General features: G+C 44.8%; 2 protein-coding genes across 13 annotated transcripts in view, besides 1 other annotated feature; both read right to left on the reverse strand.

Moving 5' to 3' along the window:
* LYPLA1-TCEA1 (LYPLA1-TCEA1 readthrough) overlaps positions 1 to 9,542 on the reverse strand; it is a 135,392-nt gene extending 125,850 nt beyond the window's left edge. For 3 of the 4 annotated variants that reach the window (NM_001425841.1, NM_001425839.1, NM_001425842.1), the window contains exons 1-2: positions 9,350 to 9,542; positions 8,503 to 8,534 (exon numbers count right to left, since the gene is read on the reverse strand). Coding sequence is in view for 1 of the 4 variants with exons in the window: in NM_001425839.1 (NP_001412768.1) it covers positions 8,503 to 8,534; positions 9,350 to 9,418 (101 nt within the window). In the remaining 3 variants the exon portion in view is untranslated. Of the gene's footprint in view, positions 1 to 8,502; positions 8,535 to 8,944 lie in introns of all 4 variants that reach the window. The other variant, NM_001425840.1, reaches the window with a different exon arrangement.
* The window catches only part of LYPLA1 (lysophospholipase 1), a 58,961-nt gene extending 49,419 nt beyond the window's left edge, over positions 1 to 9,542 (reverse strand). For 8 of the 9 annotated variants that reach the window (NR_189621.1, NR_189622.1, NM_001425837.1 and 5 more), the window contains exons 1-2: positions 9,350 to 9,542; positions 8,503 to 8,534 (exon numbers count right to left, since the gene is read on the reverse strand). Coding sequence is in view for 5 of the 9 variants with exons in the window: in NM_001425837.1 (NP_001412766.1) it covers positions 8,503 to 8,534; positions 9,350 to 9,418 (101 nt within the window). In the remaining 4 variants the exon portion in view is untranslated. Of the gene's footprint in view, positions 1 to 8,502; positions 8,535 to 8,944; positions 9,070 to 9,349 lie in introns of those variants that run through there. The other variant, NM_001279360.2, reaches the window with a different exon arrangement.
* Positions 9,096 to 9,665: a silencer, noted in NCBI's record as "silent region_19199". NCBI's record gives its function as "represses an Ori minimal core promoter by ATAC-STARR-seq in GM12878 lymphoblastoid cells {active_cell/tissue: GM12878}" and the evidence as "EXISTENCE:reporter gene assay evidence [ECO:0000049][PMID:35858748]".

The raw sequence follows: 12,363 nt of genomic DNA on the forward strand, positions 1-12,363 counted from the left end.
CAGACAAATTCCTTGGTCTCATTCCAGACCCACTCAATCAGAAACTGGCAGTGGGGCCCAAGAATCAAGTCTTTCAAGTGATTTTGATGCATGCTATAGTATGAGAATCATGCCTTTCTAGTTCTCAGTTTTCCCATCCATAACCAGGAGCTAGTTGTACTGGATGATTCGAAGGTCTATACAGGTTATAAAACTCTGACTCCAACCATATTAATATAAAAAGGATGGCCAAGCTGTAGCCAACTCTTTTGATAATTTTCAGTGACAATGAAAAACTCAAGATTTAAGAATTCTGGCTGGGTGTAGTGGCTCACACCTGTAATGCCAGCACTTTGGGAAGCCAAGGTGGACAGACTGCTTGAGCTCAGGAGTTTGAGACCAGCCTAGGCAACATAATGAGTCCCTGTCTCTACTTAAAAACAAAACAAAACAAAACAAAATCAGGACCTGTGTGGTGGCACGCACACATATTATTTCCATTTGTTCATTATCCTGTAGTAATATGGGTGTAGAACAGAGATTCTGTCTGGGTTTGTAAAAGAAACACCACTCATCCCCAACCCCATTCATGTAGCACGTTATTCTTATGAACTCTCCTATCAGTCCCAATCAGTCTTACCAACTAACTAGACAAGAAAAAAAATGACCTAAGACAGATCAGATTCTTGACTGAACACCAGAAGTAGGGTTGATATAAGTCAGAGCTAGGATCGTTCACTTGTGGATAACACGAGTGTGTCCACACTGAGAATTACGCAAATCTACAGAAAGAAGCAAGTGAGAGACCATAAGACCAGGGAAAGGTAGTGAGAATAATGGTGTAGTTGAACAGTGTTCCCCCCAAATTCACATCCACCTGAAACCTCGGAATGTGACTTTATTTAAAAATAGGCTCTTTGCAGATTTCCTTAGTTAAGAGTTGAGATCACACTTGATTAGGGTGAGCCCTAAATCCAATAACTGGTGTCCTCCTAAGAGGAGGAGAGAACAGAAACACAGCAAAGGTCACATGAAGACAGAGGCAGAGGTTGGGGGTATGGTGCCTGAGGCCAAGGAAAGCCGGGAGTTATCAGAAACGGAACAGGCAAGGACGGATCTTCCGTTAAAGAGAATGTATGTGGCCCTGTTGACAGCTTGGTTTTGGACTTTTGGCCTGTTTAACTGTGAGAATGAATTTCTGTTGTTTTTAATCCATCTAGTTTGTGGTTATTTATAATGGCAGCCTTAGGAAACTAATACATGTGGTGATTGATGCTCCTCGTATGTCTCACCCTTTAATTCTTTATTTATTCATTTATTTGTCCAACAAATACTTAGTGCTATTACATGTCCTATACTATTCTAGCACTGGGAATACAGTATTAATTTAAACAAAACACAAAAAATCCCTGTGCTGAGGTATATTTTATGGTATGTGAATTTTATCTTAATGAAAGTTTATTAAAGAAACCTTTGCCTTCATGGACTTTATATGCCAGTGGGCTGCCCTTCTATCCTTCCACAAATTCTAATTTTTGTTTAAGCTAGTTGAAGAGTTTTCTATTCCTTGTAATTAAATGATCTCCAAATCACATTCTATAATTCTATTATTAATAGTTCTTGATTACAGGAAGACTTGCAAACTTATTACGGTCACAAAACATATCCATGTTGCCAATTTATTTTAAATCCTCACCTTGTTTGACCTCTCAGTAAAATCTGATCCAGTCAACCACTTATTTTATCTTTCAAACATTCTTCTCTATACTTTTATAATCTCCTTGGTCTAGGAAATGTCACAGGGACTGGTAATACAGATAAGTAATTCCTGGAATACATCGGGGCTGGGGAGTAGCAGGGAGGGGGACACATGAAGAGAACCAAGCTTTCCACCAGGCCTTTCCTCCTCCTCGTTTCCCCTTAATTGGAACTGAGCTTTCAGGTGTGATATTCAGCAGATGGGGAGAGGTCCCATGAATGAAGCATAGCTGTGAGCTGGTGCAACTGGAGGGGCACACTCCACAGTTGCACTGTTGGCCAGAACCCCCCAAGAACAGAAGTCAGGTTCCTCACGGAATTACAAATATGGAAAGGGAGAAGGCTATAATAAACCCTGTGGTGCTGGGCTGCAATTGGAGGAATCATTATAAACTCAAGATTTTGAATACTTATAAATACTAAAACTGATATGTGTGTACATATGTATGTATGTCCATATATTCTTAGCTCTGTCCACTGCAAGGGTCTAGATCTGGGAGCACATATAGCATCCAGATCTCACTGTCTACTAAAAGGAACCAGGGTTCTTGGAAAAATGGCTGAGTCCAGGACTAGAGCAGGAAACATATAAGACAATCCTAGAAAAAGTCTTGTACCATAAAGTGAGGAAGTGATCAAATAAGAATGAGGATATGTCCAAAAGACACCAAGTACCAGCTTGAAAGGGTTACTGTGGCCAACTAAAGGACAATTTGAGCATCAAAATAAATAACTAACTTGATTGTTATCCTCTGAATACAATAGGAATCCAAGAGTCTGTACTGATTTAAAATTTTGAAACAAATGAGTATCTACATAAGTAATAAATAAAGGAGAAAGGAAAGCTCTACCCCACAGTAGACTGCTAAATAATAAATCCAGAATAAAGGAATTTTTTTTTTTTTTGAGACTGAGTCTCACTGTCGCCTAGGCTGGAGTACAGTGGCACCATCTTGGCTCACTGCAACCTCCAGCTCCCAAGTAGATGGGACAACAGGCATGCACCATCCTGTCCAGCTAGTTTTTTAATTTTTAGTAGAGACGAGGTTTCGTCATGTTGGCCAGGCTGGTACTGAACTACTGACCTCAGATGATCCTCCTGCCTCAGCCTCCCAAAGTGCTGGAATTACAGGCATGAGCCACTGCACCCGGCCAGAACAAAGGAAATTTAATTAAAAGACCATATTTTAACTTTAAATATTTAAATATCATAAGATATTCGGCAACTACCACAACAATAGATTCTGGCAATAATCATTAATGGGTGCTAAATCCATGGGTGAACATATGGTGGGGATCAGGAATATGTTATAATATCAAGGTATCTCCCCACAAAATATTTTTTAATATTTTAATTACATATTCAATATTTTAAATATTTCATATGTTATATTTATTATTTTAATGTGGAGAAACCTGGCAGACACCATCTTAACCAAGTGATAAAACACATCAGTAACAACAAAATCATCATGAGGTCTGCCTAATATGATGCACTGTTATGGACACAGCAATACCCCTATAGTGTTACTGTCAAAAAGGTATAAATCACAAAACATCAGATAAACCCAAACTGAGGGACATTCTACAAAGTAACTGGCTTACACTTTTTTTTTTTTTTTTTGGTAGACACAGGGTCTGGCTGTTGCCCAGGCTGGTCTCAAACAGCTGGGCTCAAGCGATTCTCATGCTCAGCTTCCCAAAGCACTGGTATTACCATACCCGGCCTGTATTCTTGACAAAGTGTCAAGGTCATGAAAGACAAGGACTGTTTCAGAATAAAGAAAACTAAAGAGAAATGATAAGTAGAGGCAATATGTGATCCTAGACTGATAAAGGACATTATTGGCTCAAATCAATGAAATGTGAATGGAGCTGGTGGATTAGACCGTAGTATACCATCAGTGTTAACTTCTTAATGATGGTTATACTGGAGTGTCCTGGTACTTAAAAATGTACACTGAAGAATTAAGCTGTAATGAGGCAACACGCCTGCAACTTATTCTTTAATAGTTCAGAAATATTAACAATTGGGTAATTTGGGTGAAAGGTATAAGGAGCTATAAATGTTATTTCTGCAACTTTTATGTAAATTTCAAGTTATTTAAAATGAAAAGTTAAAAAGTTTAAAACATAACAGAATAGAACATAACCTATTAAATAAATCTGAGTCCAGGCATGACACAGTGGTTCATGCCTGTAATTCCAGGGAGGGACTGGGAGGCCGAAGTGGGCAAATCACTTGAGGTCAGGAGTTCGAGACCAGCTTGGCCAACATGGCAAAACCCCGTCTCTACTAAAACTACAAAAATCTGACTGGACACTATGGCTCACGCCTGTAATCCCAGCACTTTGGGAGGCTGAGGAGGGCAGATTACGAGGTCAGGAGTTTGAGATCAGCCTGACCAACATGGTGAAACCCCCCCGTCTCTACTAAAAATACAAAAAAAATTAGCCAGGCGTGGTGGCACGTGCCTGTAATCCCAGCTACTCATGAGGCTGAGGCAGGAGACTCACTTGAACTCAGGAGGCAGAGGTTGCAGTGAGCCAAGATCACGCCACTACACTCCAGCCTGGACGACAGGGCGAGACAAGGTCTCAAAAAAAAAAAAAAAAATTAGCCGGGTGTGGCGGCACGCACCTATAGTCCCAGCTACTTGGGAGGCTGAGGCAGCAGAACTGCTTGAACCTGGGAGGTGGAGGTTCAGTGAGCCGAGATTGCACCACTGCACTCCAGCCTGGCTGGGTGACAGAGCGAGATTCTGTCTCAAAAAATAAACAAATAAATAAATAAATAGAAAATAAATCTGAGTCCATACTAACTAAATGGGGAGTAGCAGATTAATAAACAAAATGGAATGACAAAAAAAAAGGAATGACAGAATTGGAAAATCACACTGTAGAAATGATTGACTCAAGCAATTATCAATGGATGATAAAAATATTGGGTGAAAGCTTGATGAACAACTTGCATAGTCACAAAGTATCCCCCCGCAACTTGCTTTTTAATTACAAAAGGAAAGTAACTGCAGTCGAGACCTGGAAGATACCACCTTAATCAAAAGATCGAAGTTACAACAATAAAAGGACTCAGCATCATTAGTCTACTGATGCGCGCAATGAATAGGACATATTGTTTACATGGTATTTATACCAGAAATGCATAAACTGAATCTAATCATGAGTAAATACACAAACCCAAATTAAAGGACTAGCCTGTTCTCTGCAGAAGTGTCAATGTCGTGAAAGACAAAAGAAAATCTAGGGAATTGTTCCAGATTAAAAGAGACAAAAGAGACTAAAGAGACGTGATAACTAAATATAATGTATGACTAGGGAGGAGATAGCTATAAAGGATATTAATGGAACAATCTGGCAAAGGTTGAATGCATAATATATTAGATAATACTAAATGTTAAATTTAATGGGATAACTTTTCTGTGATTATATAATGTTTAAAATACCCTAGTCCTTCTCACCCACAGTTTTGTTTTCCATGGTTTCAGCTGCCCACAGTCAACTGTGGTTCGAAAATATTACATGGAAAATTCCAGAAATAAACAGTGGGGGATGCTCTAAAACCCCTAGTGGATGCCTGAATCCATGGATAACACCAAACCCTATATATACTATGTTTTTTCCTATACATAATGCTTGTGATAAAGTTTATTGTGTAAATTAGACATAGGAAGAGATTAACAATAATAAAACAATTATAACAATATGACAACATCACTTCTCTTGCACTTTGGGGCCATCATTAAGCAATGTAAGGCTTATTTGGATAAAAGCACTACAGGCTGGGCGAGGTGGCTCATGCCTGTATTCCCAGCACTTTGGGAGGCCAAGGCGGGCAGATCGCTTGAGGTCAAGAGTTCCAGACTGGCCTGGCCAACATGATGAAACCCCGTCTCTACTAAAAATACAAAAATTAGCCGGGTGTGGTGGTGCACGCCTGTAGTCCCAGCTACTCAGGAGGCTGAGGCAGGAGAGTTGCTTGAACCTGGAGAGTGGAGGTTGCAGTGAGCCATGATTGTGTCACTGCATTCCAGCCTGGGTGACAGAGCAAGACTCTGTCTCAAAAAAAAAAGCAAAACAATACCAAAACAGTTGACCTGATAACCCAGATGGCTACCAAGTGACTAACAGATGGTGAATGGATATAGCATGGATACGCTAGGTAAAGGAATGATTCGTGTCCTGGGTGAGACGGAATGAGATTTCATCACAATACTCAGAATGGTGTACAATTCAGGCCAGGCATGGTGGCTCATGCCTGTAATCCCAGCACTGCGGGAGGCCGAGGTGGGTGGATCACTAGAGGTCAGGAGTTCAAGACCACCCTGGCCAACATGGCAAAACCCCATCTCTACTAAAAATACAAAAAAATTAGCTGGACGTGGTAGCACGCGCCTGTAATCTCAGCTACGCCGGAGGCCGAGGCACAAGAATCACTTGAACCCGAGTGGCAGAGGTTGAAGGGAGCCGAGATCGTGCCACTGCACTCCAGCCTGGGTGACAGAGTGAGACTCCATCTCAAAAAATAATAATAAAATAAATAAAAAAGAATGGTGTACAATTTTAAACTTATAAAGTATTTCTGGAATTTTTCATTTAGTATTTTCAAACCACAGTTAACCACGGGTAACTGAAACCATGGGAAGCAAAACTGCAGGTAAGGGGAGACTACAATATCTTAAGTATTAAATTGCCACTTGTCAGGCTGACAGGTTCGAAGTTTCATCATGCACTCATGGAACCAATCTAGAGTCAGCCTTTCCTTAGCATTATCCCACCAAATAATTTCAGAACTGGAGACCTTTGTTTTTTCTTTTATCACAACAGGTTAAAAAGAAGGATACTTTTTTAATATAAACTTAACTTTTGGTCAAGATGTAATGGATGTTCTTGGTATTTTTGATCCTAATAGTCTTCACCATTTTTACTTTTAGCTTCAGTCTGTGGAATCTGCCTAGACTGAAGTTTTTTTTTTTTTGCTTGAACTAATCATTCAGGCATAGAAGTGCTCATTATTGGCAAAGTTAGAGGATAGCAACCTTCTCCCTGACTTGCAACATCAAGAAAGGTTTGGCCATAAAATAGAGATTCTGCTATTCGAGTTTCATTTGGTAAAATAAGTTCATCATTTTCACAGGACCACTGGATTGCCAGAAAGAGTGCTGCAACCTTTTCTGTAACTCCATACAAAGTTTGTATTACATAACTCGACTTATTAGGCAAAAAATAGGAATCACTTTTAAGTGGTGGCTCACGCCTGTAATCCCAGCACTTTGGGAGGCTCAGGTGGGTGGATCATTTGAGGTCAGGAGTTCGAGACCAGCGTAACCAACATGGCAAAACTCTGTCTCTACTAAAAATACAAAAATTAGCTGGCATGGTGGCAAGCAACTGTAGTCCCAGCTACTCGGGAGACCCAGGAACCCAGAAGGTGGAGGTTGCAGTGAGTCAAGATCACGCCACTGCCCTCCAGCCAGGGCAACACAGCAGACCCTGTCTCCAAACAAACAAACAAAAATCTAGCCTAATGGCATTTTTTTTTTTTTTGAGTCTCACTCTGTGGCCCAGGCTGGAGTGCAGTCGTGCAATCTTGGCTCACTGAAGCCTCTGCCTCCCAGGTTCAAGTGATTCTCTTCTCTCAGCCTCCCTAGCAGCTGGGATTACAGGCATGCACCACCACACCCGGGTAATTTTTATATTTTTAGTAGAGATGGGGTTTCACCATATTGGCCAAGCTGGTGTCGAACTCTTGACATCAAGTGAACTACCCACCTCGGCCTCCCAAAGTGCTGGGATTACAGGTGTGAGCCACCGCGCCCGGCCCCAATGGTTCATTTTAAAGAAAATTTAGTCGTTCTGGGGCTACTTTATCAAAATTTATTTATCTTCAGTTTTCCTCTATTTCTGCAATTTTTCAACAACATTCATATTTTGCTTAAGTTTCACAGATTATCACCAATTTAAATATAAAAACAAAAACATCTCAATATAGAAAAAGCTTGAGTAAAAGATAAATCATGTATCTAAAGTTAGTACAAAAGGCCAGGCTCAGGCAGCTCCCACCTCTAATCTCTGTGCTTTGAGAGGCTGAGGCTGAAGGATCACTTGAGCCCAGGAGTTCAAAGCTGCAGTGAGCTAAGATCCTGCAACTGCACTCCAGCCTGGGCGACAGAGAGAGCCCTTGTCTCTAAAAATAATAACAAAAGAAAAAAGCAAACAAACAAAAAATAAAATAAAAATAAGTAGTTAGTACAACAAATTGTTTGATAAGCCTCCAAATAAATCTTTGAGTTGCCTCCCCTGCCTTTCAACTCATTAGAGTGAACATCTAATCCCTCTATTCAGAATGCTGCATGCCTTATGTTGCCACTAGTTCTCTTATCAAAATCAACTAGTTCTTCTCTTCAATCTGCTCTGAAATTTTAACTGCTCTGGAAAGCTCTCAATTGCACACCGTCCCTACTAACATTCCACGGATCTCTGGTATCCAATACCCAAAGCAACTAATGAGGAATTTGAAATTTTAATATGTTCCAGAAACCAGAGTTAAAAAATCAATAAACTCACGATGATAAGGGGAAAATTCTGAGGGTTTTCAAAACATAAAATCACCGCACTGTAAGATACATTAACTGGCAATCTTAAAATACCATTTTAGCGCCCTTAAACATTAAACCTTTGAACGCGTAAACAAAAGTTGCATGACCCAGTTTCATTACTGTTACTATTAATAATAATGGTACCTACCCAGTATCTCCCAATCCATGCAGGAAAATCACCTATAAGAGAAGAGGAAAATTAATAAGCAATGCCTAAATAAGCCCACACAGGATTGTTACACACTAGCTTTGCTTAAGGTGGAAAACGGAACGAAACCTACGAGAGAATTACACAACACTATCTTCGGCGACTTAATCTTTATCGACCTCTTTTAAATGGCAAAAATTCTGATCAACTTCTCCCTTTATTTCCTGAGATAATGAATGGGGGGGGGGTAGCACTGAGAGGTCCCAGTTAGACATTGAGTGCAAATGATCACATTCTAAGAAAAACAGTTTATCTCTTTCAAGTGAAATCAGGAACATCTCACATATCCTGTAGAATTTTTCCACTGCAAAAGCAAGCTTCCGGAGGCAAAAATAAGTTTGACTTTTCATACACGAGTTTTCTAAAAAACAGTACGTCTGACCTTGTAGGACACTCAATCTTCAAACTTCTTTCATTGAGGATAAGAGTGCGAGGTGACAATAAGGCGATTTCCTGGCGGACTTAGGTTTCCCTCACCCACACACCAGGCAGAAACACGCTGCAGAGGCTGACGCCGTGCCCTAGGCCGGCCCGCGGGGGTCCCGGGGCCACACTTCCTCCGCAATGCAGGGAGGAGCTGGGGACTGGCCCTCGCGCCGGCTGTGACCCCCCGGCTGCCCCCGCCCCCCGCGGACCCGGCCGCGCGGACCATTCGCACCCCACCCGGGCCGGGAGGAGCGTCCTCGTCCGCAGGCCGCCACGCGCCCGCAACGCCCACCCCGCGCGAGGGGCAACCACCGGTGGCCGGCCCAGTGGACCCCTCCGAGCCCACGCCTACGCCACTCACCGCAGCGGTGGCCTTCCGGGCGGCGGGCACGATGGCGGGCAGCGGGGTTGACATGTTATTGCCGCACATACACCGCCTCAGCTCACAGCGCAAGCGGAAGGAAGAGCGGGCGCCCGGCCGCGGCCCAAGGGCGTGCGAGCGGCGAGTCCCGGCCGGCCCCACCGGGCGCACGCTCAGGCGCGTGCGCGCCAACGCGGCCCCGCGCTACCTTCCGCGCGCGCCCGCGCGTCCAGGGTCCGCCCTGCCCTGCCCCTCGCCCGCCGCCCCTCCCTCGGCACCTCACAATGTCCGGGCGGCTCCCTCCCTCCGATTGGCTGCGGCGGCAGCGCGGACCTGGCTGCGCTTTCGCCACACCACGCAGCCTGCGCATGCTCAGTGCTGGCTAGGGAAAATGTGCTCTCAGGTGCAGGCTGAGGGCTGGTCTCTTGGGTCTTGGTTTAGGTTTTTGCTTTTCTGGCGCTGTAGTGAAAAGAATGAGCCCCAGAGCCAATTCACCCAACCCAACCCCAGGTGCTCCTTGGTTTCCTGCGGCCGGGGTCTATCCATTTGTAAAAGTCTGGATGGACTGGGAGACGTTGATGGAGCTTTTGCAGTATTTCCGTTTGGGGCTACAGCAGTATGTAGATTTGGGTTCAACTTACCTTCTTTAAACTTTAGTTGGAAAGGGTAACATTTGTCACCAGAAATCCACTACTTCCCTAACTTGATCGACAACACTTACTGATGTACGGATATTGACACAGTACAGGTTTAAGTGAGAGGTAAAGCCAGCTGGTCTTCTGGGTCGGTTGGGGACTTGGAGAACTTTTCTGTCTTACAAGAGGATTGTAAAATGTACCAACAGCACTCTGTAGCTAGGATTGTAAAATGCACCAATCAGCACTTTGTGGCTAGCTAGAGGTTTGTAAAATGCACCAATCAGTACCCTGTAAAACGGGCTAATCAGTGTTCTGTAAAGTGGACCAATCCGCAGGACTTGGGCCGGGACAAATAAGGAAATAAAAGCTGGCCACGCCCCCCATCCCCTAGCTGGCAGTGGCAGCCCTGGGTCCCCTTCCACACTGTGGAAAGTTTGTTCTTTCACTCTTCACAATAAATCTTGCTGCTGCTGCTCACTCTTTGGGTCTGTGGGACCTTTAAGAGCTGTAACACTCCCAGCACTTTGGGAGGCCGAGGCGGGTGGATCAGGAGGTCAGGTGATCGAGACCATCCTGCCTTAACACGGTGAGACCTCGTCTCTACTAAAAATACAAAAAAAAAAAATTGGCCGGTCGTGTAGTCCAAGCTACTTGGGAGGCTGAGGCAGGGGAATGGCGTGAACCTGAGAGGCAGAGCTTGTAGTGACCTGAGATCGCGTCACTGCACTCCAGCCTGGGAGACAGAGAGAGACCTTGTCTCAAAAAAAAAAAAAAAAAAAAAAAAAAACTGTAACACTCACCACGAAGGTGACAAGCTTTATTCTTGAAGTCAGCGAGACCATGAACCCACCGGAAGGAACCAACTCTGGACACATAAGCATGAGACTAGACTGCCCTTTTCTGCACAGGTGCCTTTATGGCCTAAAATGTAGTTACTCAACAAATGTGTTGCATATCAACTACATGGTAAGATCTGGAAGAGAGCACAAGATAGAAACACTTAAAGCCAAAATGCCCTGACCTTCAGAAGTTTACAATTCAGTGAAGGACATACTGGAGGCCGGGCGCAGTGGCTCAAACCTGTAATCCCAGCACTTTGGGAGGCCGAGGTGGGCGGATCACGAGGTCAGGAGATTGAGACCATCCTGGCTCACACGGTGAAAACCCGTCTCTACTAACAATACAAAAAAAAAAAAAAATTAGCTGGGTGTGGTGGTGGTTGCCTGTAGTCCCAGCTACTCGGGAGGCTAAGGCAGGAGAATGGCATGAACCCAGGAGGCGGAGCTTGCAGTGAGCCAAGATAGTACCACTGCACTCCAGCCTGGGCAACAGAGCAGGACTCCATCTGAAAAAAAAAAGGACATACTGGATACCATCCTTAGAGAGTAAGGTTCGGAAGAAAGCTGTAAAAAAAACAACACTCCATTTCTTTCACACGGTAACCAGTGTCAGAGGCGTGTGAACCAGAGCAACTCCATCTTAAATAGGGGCTGAGTAAAGTAAGGCTGAAACCTATTGGGCTGCATTCCCAGACGGTTAAGGCATTCTAAGTCACAGGATGAGATAGAACGTCAGCGCAAAATATAGCTTATAAAGATCTTGCTGATAAAACAGGATGCAGTAAAGAAGCCGGCCAAAACCCACCAAAACTAAGATGGCAATGAGAGTGAACTCTGGTCATCCTCACTACTGCACTCTCATTGAGAGATAACAACGCGCTAGCAGTCCTCGCTCATTCTCAGCACCTCCTCGGCCTCGGTGTCTGCTCTGGCCACACTTGAGGAGCCCTTCGGCCCGCCGCTGCACTGTGGGAGCCACTCTGTGCTGGCGCAGGCCAGAGCCAGCTCCCTCTGCTTGCAGAAAGGTGTGGAGGGAGAGGTGTCCGTGGGAACCGGGGCCAGAGCAAGTTCCGGGTGGGCGTGGGCTCGGCGGGCTTAGCACCTGGGCCAGCAGCTGCGGAGGGGGCACCAGGTCCCCCGGCACTGTGGGCCCGCCCTCACTGCGCTGGAATTCTCCCCGGGCCTCAGCCGCCTCCCCGCGGGGCAGGGCTCAGGACCTGCAGCCCGCCATACCTGAGCCTCCCCCGCCCCCGCCGTGGGCTCCTGCGTGGCCCAAGCCTCCCTGACCAGCACCTCCCTTTGCTCCGCGGCACCTGGTCCCATCGACCGCCCAAGGGCTGAGGAGTGCAGGCCCACGGCGTGGGACTGGCAAGTAGCTCTGCCTGCGGCCCCAGTGCAGGATCCACTAGGTGAAGCCAGCTGGGCTCCTGAGTCTAGTGGGGACTTGAAGAACTTTTATGTCTAGCTAGAGGATTGTACACACACCAATCAGCACCCTGTGTCTAGCTCAAGGTTTGTAAATGCACCAATCAGCGCT

The sequence above is a fragment of the Homo sapiens genome, chromosome 8 (genome assembly GCF_000001405.40).
Source record: "Homo sapiens chromosome 8, GRCh38.p14 Primary Assembly".
In the NCBI taxonomy this organism is placed as follows: domain Eukaryota; kingdom Metazoa; phylum Chordata; class Mammalia; order Primates; family Hominidae; genus Homo; species Homo sapiens.